The 15,739-nt window shown below is 40.1% G+C and overlaps 1 protein-coding gene across 2 annotated transcripts in view, besides 2 other annotated features; it reads left to right on the top strand.

Moving 5' to 3' along the window:
- Nucleotides 246-425: a silencer, noted in NCBI's record as "silent region_19468". NCBI's record gives its function as "represses an Ori minimal core promoter by ATAC-STARR-seq in GM12878 lymphoblastoid cells {active_cell/tissue: GM12878}" and the evidence as "EXISTENCE:reporter gene assay evidence [ECO:0000049][PMID:35858748]".
- TMEM74 (transmembrane protein 74) overlaps nt 361-15,739 on the top strand; it is a 180,745-nt gene continuing 165,366 nt past the window's right edge. Inside the window, exons 1-2 of one of the 2 annotated variants that reach the window (NM_153015.3) lie at nt 361-479; nt 2,818-8,981. In NM_153015.3, the coding sequence (NP_694560.1) occupies nt 2,857-3,774 (918 nt within the window). In that variant the 5' untranslated portion in view covers nt 361-479; nt 2,818-2,856 and the 3' untranslated portion in view covers nt 3,775-8,981. Of the gene's footprint in view, nt 480-2,817; nt 8,982-15,739 lie in introns of those variants that run through there. The other variant, NR_136411.2, reaches the window with a different exon arrangement.
- Nucleotides 841-1,135: a silencer, noted in NCBI's record as "tiled region #8108; K562 Repressive non-DNase unmatched - State 18:Pol2". NCBI's record gives its function as "represses a minimal TATA promoter and a strong SV40 promoter by Sharpr-MPRA in K562 cells {active_cell/tissue: K562}" and the evidence as "EXISTENCE:reporter gene assay evidence [ECO:0000049][PMID:27701403]".

Below are 15,739 nucleotides of genomic sequence, written 5' to 3'. Positions count from 1 at the left end.
ATGAGGATTAATAAAATCTACTTGGAAGATTTGTTTTGACTATTAAAAAGACAAAATATGCAAATTATCTGGCACATTTGAAGTCGAATATACTTTCCTTTTCACAGTCTTGTGGCCACACCTGAGGCTAGGGAACTCCACTCTAGGCTTAGAAAACAGTGCTGTCTTCTTAAGTGCTGGGGAGGAGTAAGAGGGTATGGCGGGAACTCATCTGCAGGAAGGGTAAAACCCAGAAGGCGTGGGAGGAGACAGAGACAGGAGGGATGCAGGGACCGCCCCTGGCCTACAACTCCCGGGATGCTCCGGGAGCGCCCCGCCCCGCCCCACCCCGCCCGCCGTGGCGGGCGCTGCCCACCCGGCGGAGCCGAGCGGCGTGCAGAGGCTACAAGTGCCGTAGCTGGTGATTGGGGGACTTTCTCCGGGAACCGTGCCGGGAGAGCGCGCGGTGCTGGAGCCGCACCGGGTGGCCGAAGCAGAAGGTGAGTGGCGGGGAGTGGGATGGGGTGGAGGCTTTGAATGCAAGGGTGAGAGCCCTGGAGCCTAGCAGAGCTGGAGCGCATATCCCCGCTCTCTCTCCTTCGTCTCCGAGTACTAGGCGGACACATCCGTACCTCGAATGCCTCAGTGGGCGCAGAGTTCACCAGAAATGGATAGCCGGATTCCTCGGCGCCTGCTGGGGGCACCGCTGCCAGGTGCTTGGGGCTCGCTCTCCCGGCTTTGCTCGCACAGGGCGCATCCAGAGGTCGCCTCCCCGAGATCAGCCTTGCCTGTGTCAGTTTAAAGCAAATATTAATGCTTTTAATTGATGACAGATGGACGAGGGAAAGTGCGTGTCCCCTCGCTTTAAGGTGCAATGTCGTTAACTGGGCTTTTAAGCAGATCAGAGGAAAAAGAGGGAGAGGACGGAAGAAAAGAGTCTTTAGCTGGTCCCCTGGGATTATCCATTCTCCACTGAGAATGGAAACCCCGGATTAGGGAGCTGCAAAGGAAATCGACTGTGCTGCTAGCATACCTCCGGTAGAACAAGCGAACAAGCGGGAGTAGCTTTTCTTTAAAGAGAGGTAGAGGCGGCCGTAGGGAATTAAGTGGGGATTTCTCTCTTCTTTTGTTATAAACTGAAAGTCTCAAAGAACCCTGCTGATTTTATCCAAGGTAGGCTAGTGTGATGAGTTAATGGTACCAAAGGTTAATCAGAGCCCCTAATGCCTGAGAAAACTGGAAGAAGAGTTATCGGTAATTGATGAAGCCTGTTACCATCACTTCATTCATTGAGGGATCCTTTAGTGGGGGTTTGTTCTAGTTTAGTAGTGATTCTTTTGCCCTGTTGTTTTTTGCTGTTTTCACTGTAGAGAAACTCCGATAACAGGAGAAAAACGTTTTCTGTTTTGCTTTTTTTGTTTTGTTTTAAACAAACTCTTAGGTGTAGCAGAAAACATGTCAATTCCCTCTCCCATATTTTGAGTTGCCAGGTTGACCTTAGGTGACCCTTGCCTGTGTTTCTGTTACCAGCTTTGGAGCTGTGGATTTTGAATTATAAGAAGCCTCAAGCCGTTGGGTTAAATCAATTATCACCCTGGATTTGGAAGCAAAATAAAAGGAGCCTTTGGTTAAAATCTCTAATGATAGTGGAAAGTGAATTTTTATTCCTTAGAAACATGGCAGAGGCAGAGAAAAGCCGATGGTTTTCTGCTCAAACCAAAGTTCTCTCCCAGAAATGCCCCTTGCTGCAGTCGGGGGTGAGGAGTGACATGTTTATAAAATTACAGAGGTAACCTTGGAAATAGCTTCTCACCTATTTGTCTCCACAGAACTCTTACTCTGTGGGTTTATAGTTTGTCTTTTATTATCAGTTCACTTCTAGATTGGGTTTGTAAAACTATCCAGATGGTCAATTTCTTGTGCATTGTGTGATAGCAAAGCATGCAGAGAGGGAGGAACACAGACCCAGGGAACGGGAGTAGCAGATCCTGCAGCTGGAGCAGGCAGGTGTGTGTGTGGAGGAGTGGGTTGGCCCATTGTATTTTGCAGGGATTGCCGTAAGGTCTGTTGCCTGTATGCTTTGGGGTCCAGAACATGCTTCCCCCATGGAGCAGTGAGGGAATAGGGCTAAGTGGAAGCACAGTGAATAAGCAGCATATGGTCTTGTAAATACAGGGCTGTGTCACTAGGGTCATTGGATGTATGAGGTGTAAGCTTAGCAGAGGTGGCTGATTAAGCTGGCCTTTTTCATCTACTTCAGAGCTATGGAATCAAAATGCTGAGTTCCTGCCCAGCTGATAGGGGTGTATAGTCATTCACTGATGGTGATGCTCCAAAGCTAATCTGTATTAGAATTTGCTCTGAACTAGGGAGAGTGTAAACACTTACAATCTTACTGAATTAACAAGTCTATGCTTCCCCAAGTCCTCCAGAAAATCGGCAGCTCTGCTAAAAAGGGCTCTTGCCTTTCTCATTTGTCTTTTTACAGGAAACTTGCCTTCTCGTTTGAGGGATCCTTTTGCAGGAATGCGCGAGTCCTTGAATAAATTTGGCTTGGTGACGGCAGTATTCTTTCTCAGTAGACACTGCCACTTCCTCCACGCACCTTTCTACCCTGACTTAAGTTTCTCAGTGTTAATCACTATGACAAGTGAGAGCATTTGTCCCTTCCACACTTTCCTGCCACTAGGTATCCCCTCCCTTCTTTTGCCTGTTTGAGGTGGAAAAGGGGCTAAACAGGTGCAGCTGTGAAGGAAATGGGGACCCCAGGAGCAACACTCCTGGAAGTACAACCTTAGCTTCTGTTGGGTTCTTATCTAACTCTGTTGCTATTGGCAGACTTTCCGGAAGCTGCTGGGGGATGTCTGACTAGCTCTCATGGAGCTCCACTACCTTGCTAAGAAGAGCAACCAGGCAGACCTCTGTGATGCCAGGGACTGGAGTTCAAGAGGGCTGCCTGGTGACCAGGCAGATACAGCAGCCACAAGAGCTGCTCTCTGCTGTCAGAAACAGTGTGCATCCACCCCAAGAGCAACCGAGATGGAAGGGTCTAAACTTAGTTCTTCTCCAGCATCCCCCTCCTCCTCTCTGCAAAACAGTACTCTTCAGCCAGATGCCTTTCCACCAGGACTTCTCCACTCAGGGAACAACCAAATAACAGCGGAACGGAAAGTCTGTAACTGCTGCAGCCAGGAATTAGAAACTTCTTTTACCTATGTGGACAAAAACATCAACTTGGAGCAGCGGAACCGGAGCTCGCCATCAGCAAAAGGGCATAATCACCCTGGGGAGCTTGGCTGGGAAAATCCAAATGAGTGGTCCCAAGAGGCTGCCATATCTTTGATATCTGAAGAGGAGGATGATACAAGTTCAGAAGCCACGTCTTCAGGGAAGTCTATAGACTATGGTTTCATCAGCGCCATCTTGTTCTTGGTCACTGGGATCCTGCTCGTGATCATCTCTTACATCGTCCCACGGGAAGTGACTGTGGACCCCAACACTGTGGCAGCCCGGGAGATGGAGCGCCTGGAGAAGGAGAGTGCGAGGCTGGGGGCTCACCTGGACCGCTGTGTGATTGCGGGGCTCTGCCTCCTCACGCTGGGGGGCGTCATCCTGTCCTGCTTGTTAATGATGTCCATGTGGAAGGGGGAGCTCTATCGTCGAAACAGATTTGCCTCTTCCAAAGAGTCTGCAAAACTCTATGGTTCTTTCAACTTCAGGATGAAAACCAGCACGAATGAAAACACTCTGGAACTGTCCTTGGTAGAGGAAGATGCGCTTGCTGTACAGAGTTAATTCTGGTTGTGAATATCTTGAGAGTCTGCCTTGGCATTTTATAATATGAAAAAAGTTAATTTATAAAAATTCACAGTGCAATTTATTTGCCTGGCAAGAAAAGTTTATTTCACAAACCAACAGCCAGTAAGTGTTTTTGTTCTCTATGTGTCTTCTATTTAGAAGAAAAGCCATGTAAGATGTATAAGAAACCACAACCAGCCACACCTATCCTTCTGAAGAGCTGAAGGCTAATTAATCTGTAATGGCCAAGAACTTCTACTTCGATAGAAAAATATTTCTAATGACCCAGTCTACAAATTATTTCTTTTACACAAATATATGATGTTATTCTTTGGACACTAGGTGGTCCTACACACAGTAGGATCAATTGCTAATCTACTTTGTGAAAAAGAACTAAGCACTAATCAATAATAAGGCTTACATCTAATTCTCAAAGGTGCTTATCCATTTTCTTGCTAAATTATCCTTCTTGTAATTTGGCTAAACACTAAAACATGGAATTTTTAGTTTGAATATTTTGAAGTTTGAGGATGTTGGGCTTTCCTTATTGTAAAAAATGTTATGTTTGAAATTATTCCTGTTTTCAAAAATGGTAATTAAGTCATTAGGATAAACTTTCTAATAAAAAAAAATTATGTAAATCATTGTAAGACCAATGTGAATTTAAACCACAGTGTTGGTGCCAGATATTAGCCAGGGTCACAGGCTCTTTTTTAAAATGAAGTCAAATTAGTTACTGATATAAGTTTTATATTTTGTGATTTTGCCATCATACTGGTTATCTGTGCTCTTGAAGTCTGCTGGTTCTCACACCAGCAGCAAGAGGCAAGGCATGAGACATTTTAAATATATTTCCAGACATCTAAACATCTAGACAGGCCTGAGTCATGATTGGCTCTGGTGTGCTTCCAGGTAACATCTTGTTATTGCTGTTTGGGGAAAACCACCAATAGAATTGCAGCTAGACTTTTGGGGACTGTGCCTCGCAGGCTGTATCACTTGCTGTAGGCCAAGCAACGAGCACTTCCCTCATGGTAGCAACAGTCCTTAAGCCCAAAGCCAAAAAAAAATAAAATGGAAAGAGAGATTCAATACACTGATTTAATGGGGACTGTAGTCATCGTCAGAACTCACCTCCCACTCACAGTGGTCTAGATGTCATTCAGCAACTGTGAACTCTTGCCTCATGCAGCACAAACTCTTCTCTAAGAGCAGCATGATGAGCAAGGTGCTCACTTTGCAAGACACACACTGGGTGTTCACAGTGACAGACCGCCTCATTATGGTGACGGTTCAGAAAAGGGATGGGAAATGCAGCCTCAGAAATACCTTACATTTTGCAACTCTGCCTGGAGGTTTTTCCAACCTGTGCTCTAAGAGTTGTTGTAACTTCCATGATTGTGTTACCAGGATCAGGGGGTCATTCTTAAAAAGAGGACAGGAGCTGGGAATTGGTATGAGACAGCAGGAATGAGGAAGTAAGAAAGTGATTTCTTTGCAGATTTTTAAAGGCTATTTCAAATGTCTGAAGTTTGTGGTGTTGTGGACAACTGTGGAATACATGGGTGACTTTGGCAAAATGTGTGAATCAGGATATTTATGTGGATGAGCTCTCATGGGTGTCAGATTGATTTGATGAGTGAGGTATGCTGCATATGACTTAAGGGTTGAACTGAAATACAAAAAGGGAGGCTCAGAAGATAGTAAAAAGAGAGGATGGGCATATGAAAGAATTATTAAGTAAAAATGAGAAATTATATGGCCATCAGAGGAAGCTAGATGTAGTTAATTGCCTTATGTTATAGAGCAATACTGATTACTGAAAAGAAAGAATTGAGATGACATAAACATGATTTTTGCTTTCTGTTGCTGTATTTTTGTGCTTTTTGAACAAACTTTGTTTTACTGTGACTCTCATTTCATGATTTTTGTTGAGGCTGCCTTACCAGTGGTATAAGTTTTATATTCTGAAGGTTTCTAAGTCCAGCTCTAGCCTGCTTAAGGATCCACTTTGGATGATGTTGAAACAAGAAGGAAACGATCTGCTGAGTGAGTAGGTCTGAGCTGTGTGTTAAAAAAAGAAGGCATTAAAAAAAAGAAGGCATTAAAGAAAAAACTAATGTTTATTCATAGAAGCTAAATGAGATCAACTGAGTTTTTATTTATTGGTGAAACAGGATTAATTAGCCAAATGGCAGACTAAACTGAATTAATGTGGAATCAATTTTCAGTTTATGAAGGAAGAGGAGTTTGGGAATCAAGTGTTAGGAGGTCTTTTCACTTGATAATAAAGCTTTTCATGTGGAAGCATTTAATGAATCTTGCAGGGCTACCAAATAATATAGATTTGATCTAGAGGTAACATTTTGAAAAATGCCATTTTGGAAAAAAAATATTCAACGGGGGAGAAAAAGACCTAACACATCAAAATACATTTCCTTTCTTTTCCCTAGAATGCTATAATTTCCTTTAAAATTTAAAATCGAAATGTGGTAAGTAAATGCACACTTCAACATTATTTAAATCTGCTAACATATAGAGCACCTCTCTTTTAAGGTTCTACTTATCTGAGGGCAAACCATTACACATTACATGATTTTGAAAATCATCTGAATGACTTCTTTTGGGCTGTGGTGACATTATTCAGATACTTGCCTTAATCGACTTTTCCCTGGGTATTTGGTTTATGTAGCCCTTATCCATCCTGCCTGAATTCAATATGAAGATTACTTGAATTTAAAATGATGGTAACACAGGCAAAGAAAAGCCATGTGCTTTATTTCCTGTTTTTCCCAATCTGACAAAGAGTGTTTTTGGCTCTAGAGGTACTTTGGCAAGACCAGGTGATGCATTCTATAGACATTGGGCATACAATACCTATAGTTTTGGTCTTGCATCCTTCATGGAGATTTGTGACCTTCCGTCTGTCTCTTCAATATGGTGCTGGTTGTTACCTGTGAAAGTTTTTATTGCTAGTCCTAGAGAAGAAAAACATATTTCAGTGGTTCTAGGTCTTTAGCTTATTTACATGGTTTTAGAAATCTAAACTCAAGAGTCATCTTCCTAGTCTCAATGAGAAGACAGCTCGTCTTTCAGCAGTGTGGCCCAATGGGGTGAGTTACAGAAAGAAAGCTGTCTTTCTCCTTTATTACTGGGATCTACACGCTGCTGGTGGATGATTTAAGGCTCCTAATATCTTTATAAGCCAGTTCTTTTTAGGGCACCTTAAACTGTTAGTGGTAGAGTTTGCAAAGAGTTTTCTTTGCAGCGCTGTGTGTCCTTCCCACCCATTGGGAGCTCTTAAAGCAGATCACATAATAAGATGTACTGGCCCCTCATATAAAGAACAGCTTTTCGTCATGCTCCCCACTGTGTAGGTGATTTATAGTTTACAGGAAGACAAGACTGCTTGGAACCATGAAGTTCTTGGAGGCCATGGTTGCTTTTACCCACATGACTGCTATAACCCTTGATTCTGTTCTATCAAGTTACTTGCCTTGATATCATCACATGCTTTGCTGTCTGCTTAAAATATGAGTTCATCCCCCTCATACTTATTTGTTTTAGGGACCCAATTGGACCAGTGCTGGCACATGCCCTTCAAGGTACAATTTCTGAAAAGAGACTGCGCTGCCAAACTTATGTGTGCCTTTACCTCAGTCCCCCCAGTATAAGGGGTGACTTAATCTTGATAAATGAGTGACTGAGCACCATGCTAGTTAAATATTGAGAATTAAAAGCCTGAACCCAATGGCTCTATTTTTTTTTACCACCTTCTGACAAGCAAAAATTCTAGGCAGGAGCATGTGAACATTTTGGTCTTCATCTTTCACGTGTGCAATGATAGGTGTATGCAAAATTTTACTTGGATTAATTGTCAAGTTAAAAAAGTGTTCTATATGTATATCTCTTAGGAGAAGGTTTTTCAACCTGAAGGTCAGATTTCATTGCAGCAATTAATGCCATCAAAAAAACGTGGTCTGACAAAAAAGATTCACAACCTTTGCCAGTGGTTCACCTATTACAGCAAGATGTAATACTATCAATACTTACTGTTCTCTGTAATGGGTTTAACCTTTCCCAGAATTGGACATAAAGAATGACTACGATGAGAAGATTATAATGAAGTCTTACTGGCTTTTCCTAGTCTAAAAAGAGTACTTAAGAAAGAGAATTAACATATCATTTCCTTTTGGCTGATTTTTAGCTATATCTGTTTTTGGTTCATAATATTCTATATTATCATCTCACAAATTTTATAAGTCTTGGGAAATAATTTGCCTGCCTAGTGAATTGACACTGTAAAAAGCAAGACGTTATTTTAAACACATAAAACTAATTTCAAGAATCTGTGGCTTACACTCAAGAGTGTACTCGTGGTTTATGTTTGTGTGCAGATTTATGTGCACTCAAGTCTATGTGCATTTGGACTATATTTTATAGTTATACAGCTTTAATATCCAAAGTTATTGTTAGAATAATTTTATTATAGGAATTTGGCATGCCTTACTATTGACATTAAGAAGAAGAGAAGTCTTTCACAAGTCATGAATGAAGAATTTGGAATCAGCCTCAGAATGAGATGCCATAATTATTATAAACCTGTTTTGGTTGTTCAGCCTCCCACAAATATTTATTAATTTGTTTTTTAACCTCTCAATTTCAGGCTCATGAGAGTGTGAGATATTTGGAAATTATTTTACCGTGAATTGTTATTTTATTTCAGGGGACTATGGGGAGTATATTCCTTTGTTTCAAATTTGGGTAACTCTCCTGTGTTTCAGGAACAGCTCTCCCTATTTTTTCACTGCCATCTTCAGGCTTCCTAGCCAGGCTCCAAACAAATGTCATATAAGAAAGAAAGATTAATTATTACATATTGTGTATTGAGAGTTTGTACCCTGTGGTTCTCATCGTGCTGTTAATTTTACTTTTCTTGCCAAACAAAAATAATTTGACATTGATTATGTGCTTTTTGATATTTTCAAGGGCAATTATTAAGGTTATGAGCTCTTTCTTAGGGCACTTGATGCCTTATATGTTAATAGCAAGTGTGTCATATCATTTTAAAATAAAACTATTCAAAGGCTTTATTGTGTTTATTAAGCTTAATTTAAATTGGAATCTGTAATGCTGATTTGGTCTTTTAAAATTATATTTGAAATTATTTGTCCAAAAAAATTAAAATGAATATTTACCCCTAATTTAGGTTTGTCATTCTTCTTGCTACCATTTCACTATATAATGTAGACTGTGCCTTATTTTTTGTTGTTTTATAGGAAATAGTCCAAGTTATTTGGGTTTCTCTAAATTACTCAGTATTAGAGTACACATTTTATGATATGGAAAAATACATGAATAAATATTTTTTAAAAACACTTATCTGAGTGTCTAGAAAGCTTTTAGGTGAGAAACAAGTATCAAATTAACTTATGCACCTGCTTTTAATCTAATTTTGATCTCCATTTTCATTTGAAGAATGTATCACAATTTATATTATTAACTGGAATTTTATCCTTATTATATATAAGTGCTGTCAAGGTCAAAAACTCTAAAGAGACATTTGGAAGTGAGGCCCCATATCTTGCTCCATCTATTTTGAATAAAAATTGGATCAAGATTCTTATCTACATCCTTTATAGGAAGAAAGTCTACTTCTTTCGATATCTGTTTTTTTCTAGAAGTTCTTTTGGCTTTTGTTAACCACCTCTGATCATTCGGAATAAGCTAAGTGATGCTGTTACATTTCCACAGTCTCTCGCTATATGACCCTTGCAGGTCAGCAGTCAAGGGGACCCAGTCTGATGCAGCCACCTTTTTACATGTCCCTGGTTGCCAAGCTAGAGGGGAAAAGAGTCTGAAAGGTCTCAAAGAGACACTGCACCAGGTCAACATGTATTTAGTCAGGACTAGTCATATAGTCCCACTTAAGCCAGGAAATGCAGTTCCATCATGAGCCCTGAAATGAGGAGAATTGGGACTGTTTGGCAAATGACACTAATGACTACCAGAATTTCTAAGGTCTTTGTTTTGTTCAAGCAGAGTATGTATCAATGAACATAAATATTCTCATCTTCTCTAATGATCACTTGATCAATTTAATATTAATACATTTATACTGGGGGCCAAAAATGCTAAAGGTCTCCAGAGAAGGCAAATTTAGTAGATCTTTATTAAATGCTTAAAAAAAAATTGTCACAATTATACTTTAATATATTACCTATATGATTTTATTGTATTATTTAATCATAAAAAAGGAGATTAAGCCAACATTTGTCCTTTCAACTCATGGACAGGAGGAAGTGCTTACTTTCTTGGGTTCTTACTATGTATTATTTAATTTATACCTCACCTCATTTAATTCTCACAGCATCTCTGCAAGGCAAGTGTTATCTGCATTTTACAAATGAAAAACTAAAGCTGGAGAATGTCAAATAACTGGCCAAAGTTATATAACTAATAAGCGGTAGGAAAAGAATTAAAATCTGGGACTCCTTCACTAAAATTATATATTAAGTTTAGAAGGAATATGACCCTTATAAAAACATCAATTTATACTGGCTGTTTTATTTTGCGCTTATTATTTTATAAACTAAAGAAAATAGCAGGCTTGTGATCTGAGAAATAAGGAACCCTTCCTATAAAGAAATCATATCACTATTTTGCTTTTAGGTAATATAGTGATTTATCAAAATATATGTCAAAACTATCAACTCACAGCCATCCTACTTCTTACCCCTAATGAGACTCAAGTAAGCTTATGCTGACACTTTTCCTTGGAATTGAAAAGAAAATGTAGTTACTCTTTCTATGTGCACAACAGTGAACATAGAGTTTATGTAGTCTCCAGTAAGGGATCCAGGGACGGAGAGAAAGTCACATTTGAGTGCTTACTATGTGCCAGGCATTCTGCGTTCATGTGCAGTATCTTGCATAATCTCCACAACACGTCGAATAATAAAGGCTTCAGAACCATGGAGACAGATGATCTGAAGTTTGAATGCCTGCTCCTCTACTCTTGTAATGACATCTGATCCAAGTTTCTCCATCTGTAAAATGAGAATAATACTGTTTGCCTTGCAAGACTCTGATAGAACGTAAATAAGAAAAGTTAGAGAAAAATGAAAACAAATCCTTTTCTGGTATACCATCATAACAGCTACCATTATCTTGAGTGAGGTTCTTTGTAACTACAGAATATGAGTTTTTGTAGGTACTTGGGATCCTATATGTTCATGTTGATTATCGGCTGATGAAAAACTGAATTGGGCCCAATTGTCAGATGATTACTGATCATCATGATAAAACATAATATTTTTTTACTTATGCTCCTTTCTCCTCCTCATCCTCCTTTTCCTTCTTAATTTCCTCTTCCTCCTTTTCCCCACTCCCTCTTTCTCTCCTCCCTTCCTTCATCATCATCATCATCATCATCATCATCATCATCATGTGGAAACTGCTTATTTGTATGTCTCTTGCTTCCACCATCATAAATACATCCCTCCAAGAAAGAAATTTACATCTCCCTTCATGAACGGAAAAACAATTTGGAAAACAGTCTTTTGTTTAATTGTGGAGTATGGTATGTAAATATCTTGTACTACAATCTTCTAGACCTTGAATAGTCATAACTCCAATCAGCATGCCATGTGGCAAAATATTAATATTTAATTACCTTTTGTTTTAAGACAGAATCTCACTCTGTTGCCCAGGCTGGAGTGCACTGGCGTGATCTTGGCTCACTGCAACCTCAGCCTCTTGGGTTCAAACAATTTTCCTGCCTCAGCCTCCCCAGTAGCTGGGATTACAGGCACCTGCCACTGCACTTGGCTAATTTTTGTATTTTTAGTAGAGACAGAGTTTCACCATGTTAGCCAGGCTGGTCTCAACCTCCTTACCTCAAGTGATCTGCCTGCCTCGGCTGCCCGAAGTGTTGGGATTACAGGTGTGAGCCATGGTGCCCAGCGTAATTATCTTTTAAACAAAATAGCTTTTACCATACCAAAACCCAACAAAATCCTGTCATTTGGTTGAATTGTTTTTAACATTCATAGAGCTAAAACTTAAAAGATTCTATCAATAAGCACTCTGACAAGAGACTGTTCTTCATTGCCATTTATCCAGACCACAGAGTTCATGTGTTTATATTTATCTTTGAATTTTATTGAACCTTGTTCACATTCTGCCAAATTAGCAAAAGTAACTGTTCTGGAATACAAATGACATTAAGAACAGTTGCTAAAAATTGAACTTATTTTCTCCTGATACTGAAATGGCATAATCAGTGATGCCCCCTGCTGCTGAGTGGATCCATAGGAGGGAAACCAGGGTACCAGAGCCGGAAGAGGGTAGAACCCCCAGCCTTCGGCCACACCTTATACAAATGATGAGCTCAGGAAAGAATTTCTTGATTGCGAACAGAATATAAGGGGGCTAGGAGAGACAGAGGCTGACCCTAAACAGTAAAATATGAAGCTGAAAGAGACTTTGAGTGATAAAAGTTCAGTAGTGATGCTGCCTTATGTCAAAGAGCATTATAAGGTCAAAGCTGTTTTTTATAATCTCAAAAGAGCATCGTTGAGCTGAAAAAGAGAAGCCATGGGTCAGGAAACAAAGAAACAACTCAGGCTGGAGGCAGGAAAATTTTAATATGGTTATTGGCACACGGAACTGATGGGAGCAAGTAACACAAAAGCCTAAGTTTGTAAGGGAAATACATTGCCAAAGAACCCATGAGCCTTAGACTGTTTGAGCCTTAATAAACAACATTTGAGTCCCCAAACTTGTAGCAGTAGGAAACAGGCTAGAAAATGTGCTAGAACAGCCCCCAAAGAGGGCATGTTTCAGAATACTTATTTTAGATGTGGCCATAGATAAAAGGAAGAAACTCCTAGGGCCTTGAATGAGGGGCCTTGGAAACAATGGACAAGTGATTCCTTCCAGAAAGAAGGACAGGGCATATCCAAGGAATTTACCCCACCCACAGGGCAGAAATACAGCACAATGCCTGACTGACAGAGTTTCAGCATTCTGATGAACCAATGATTATGTCAGATTGTTTCTTATGGTTATCATGTCCTTGTTCCATTAGTATATGTTTTATGTGAGGTGTAACATATCTTCTGTTTATAGTTTGCCAGATCACAACATCTGGCAACTTTATGAGAATACTATGTACATTTTGGAGGTCTTGGATTTGGAGCTGGAGGCATGTTCTGGATGGGTCCTTTAGTCTTCCTCCTTGGGAGTTGAGTCTTTGTGTGTAAGAAAGGATAGACTAGCCAAGTGTTGTGGCTCACACCTGTAATCACAACACTTTGGGAGGCTGAGGCAGGAGGATCACTTAAGGCCAGGAGTTGGAGACCTGCCTGGGCAACAAAGTGAGACCTGGTCTCTACAGAAAAAAAAAAAAAAAAAAAAATTAAAGGAAGGGAGAGACTATGGCACATCTGCCAAAGATCCATGCCCATTTACTTTGTGTAGAGTTTTTGCTAGAGAACAGCAGCCTAAACAAGGGTTGCATTTCCCAGTTCTCTTTCCACTTAGGTAGGTCCAAATGGCTAATTTGCACCAAAGGAATGTGAGCAAAGTGACGTGAGTTACCTCCTGGCTCTAGTGGTTAAGAAACCAACATGCCTTTATGCACTTAACTTCTCAATCTGGTGGCTGGATGAAGCTGCCTAAGAACTTACAGAAGCCACACTGAAGGCATAAATCCTCCAGCAGCCTGGTTTGGGGGGCTGTCTGCTTCACTATTATTGAGAACCTTAGGCTGTTAAAGGCTCTGTCATCTTCCAAGATTACTCTGGTTGTTAATATCTAGCTGGCAGACAGAAAAAGGGACAGCATTGGAGATTTTGTGGAAGGTTTTCAGTCCAGTTGGTTAGCATTTGGTATTATTGCCACATCCAGCTGCAAGGGAGGCTGGGAAATGTAGTCCAGCAGTATATCTGGGAGAAAGAAGAAATGGGTTTGAACAGCTAGCCAGTCTGTTCCACAAGGTATGACCTGCTTATAGTTAATTTCCTATTTAATGTTTGCTTTTCTACTATTTTCTTCATTTCTACATATCAAAATCTCCCTCTAGTTCACTATGAGCTTTGCCTTCTTTTTTCCTCAAGTGAATTAGGTTAAGTATCTCATGGTAAAATCTTAGTTTAGATCACATTTCGTGTATAAGTCATATATGGCTGCATAATACATTACCCCAAAGTGTAGCTTAAAAAATTAAACTTTTATTATCACACAGTTTTCTGTTGGTCAGGAATTTGGGACCAGCTTAGCTGGGTGGTTTTGGCTCAGGGTTCTCTCATAAGGTTTCAGTCACGCTGTTGGCTAGGGTTACGGGCATTTTAAGGCTTGCCTGCGACTGAGGATTCTATTCCAAAATTACTCACTCACATGGCTGACAAGTTTGTGCTGGCTGTTGGCAGGAGGTCTTGATTTGATTCCTTACTACTTGGACCTCTCCATAGAGCTTCTTGAGTTTCCTCCAAACAAGGCTGCTGGGTCCCCTGAGGAGAGGGACCCAAGACAGAAAGAAAGCTGCAAAGGATTTTATGGCCCAGTTTTGGACGTCAAACACTGTCACTTCCACCTCATCCTATACATTAAAATAGTCACTAACTCCAGCCCACAGTCCAGGATAGTGAAACTAGGCTCTACCGTTTTAGGGGAGGAGCGTCAAGAAGGAATGCGTACATATTTTAAAACCTTCACTCTCAGTATTTTGATTTTTCTAAATCCTTCTATTTTCTTTAGTGTTGCTAATATAGTACCTCTTTACTTAATTAGTATTTTAATTATATGTCTATTTTAATTCCTATTTTAGGAATGTTAACTGTATCTTTTTTTAGGATATATTGATGAGAGTGTTGAATTTGATCTTTAAAAAATCAGAGCTGACTTTGAGCCTTGCAGAGAAAAATCAGGCTCTCAAGCTAAATGGAAGGAAACAAGTCTGTGGGTGTGTGCTCCAGTGAATAATAACTGACCTGAGTGCAGAGCTGAGCACTGCACTTCCAAATTTAGTATGTATATCATGATTTCGAGGAAAACTTCCAGTTCTAGTCTCTTCCTCTCCTTTTCAGTGCCAAATTTGCCCAATTCTCAATCAAAATACCCATAGTTGTCTAATGTAGTGGAGAATCATTACTATATCATATTAATAAGTAACTTACTTATTGATGCTTATGTAGTTAATAATAAAAGCTAACACTATTGAGTGCTTATAATGTGCCAGGCCCCAGTTCTCATATTTACTCATCGAATCCCCATGACAATCCTGTGAGGTAGGTCCTTTTATTATCCTTATGTTATACATGAGCAAAGTTAGACTTATCATAGAAATTATTAGCTTCCCCAAGGTCACACAGCTCATAAGTGGCAGAATTGGGATTCAAATCACTTAATACACTTGCTTGAGGTTAAAGTTACCAAGTGGTGTAGCTGAGCCTTCCCACCCAGATCTAACACAAAAATTCATGCTCTTTTCATCTATAATAAATAGGCTGCCATTTACTTCTGTAGTTCTTTTCACCCAAACTGTTTGCCCTTCCCTCCACCAAGGCCAACCTCATGGATGATTAGTCACATTATCATTGATCTCTCCCTTCTTTAAATGGCTGTAGCACTTTGTATGTATTCCACAAGTTGCTCAGTATAGGCTGCCTTAATTGATCACTAATTGTTTCAAGCATTGGTCATTTCTTTCCAACTAGACTTTAAAACTCTAGGAGAATAAGGACCCTCTCTTATCTCCACAGAACCCAGATCAATACTAACTCATACTAGTCACTTGTTGGTTTTTCCTGACTTGCAAAGATGGGAACATCCCATCATGCCACATACAAGTCAGTTGGGCCCCAATGCCAACACAGCCTCTTACCTTGGTTTCCAGTATAGGAAAATAACCCCAGGAAGAAAAAACTCTCTAAAGGAAAATGACAAGTCAATTAAAGTT

The sequence above is a fragment of the Homo sapiens genome, chromosome 8 (assembly GCF_000001405.40).
Source record: "Homo sapiens chromosome 8, GRCh38.p14 Primary Assembly".
NCBI classification, from domain to species: domain Eukaryota; kingdom Metazoa; phylum Chordata; class Mammalia; order Primates; family Hominidae; genus Homo; species Homo sapiens.
The sequence above is the reverse complement of the archived record's forward strand: the minus strand, read 5'-3'. Positions and strand labels throughout refer to the sequence as shown.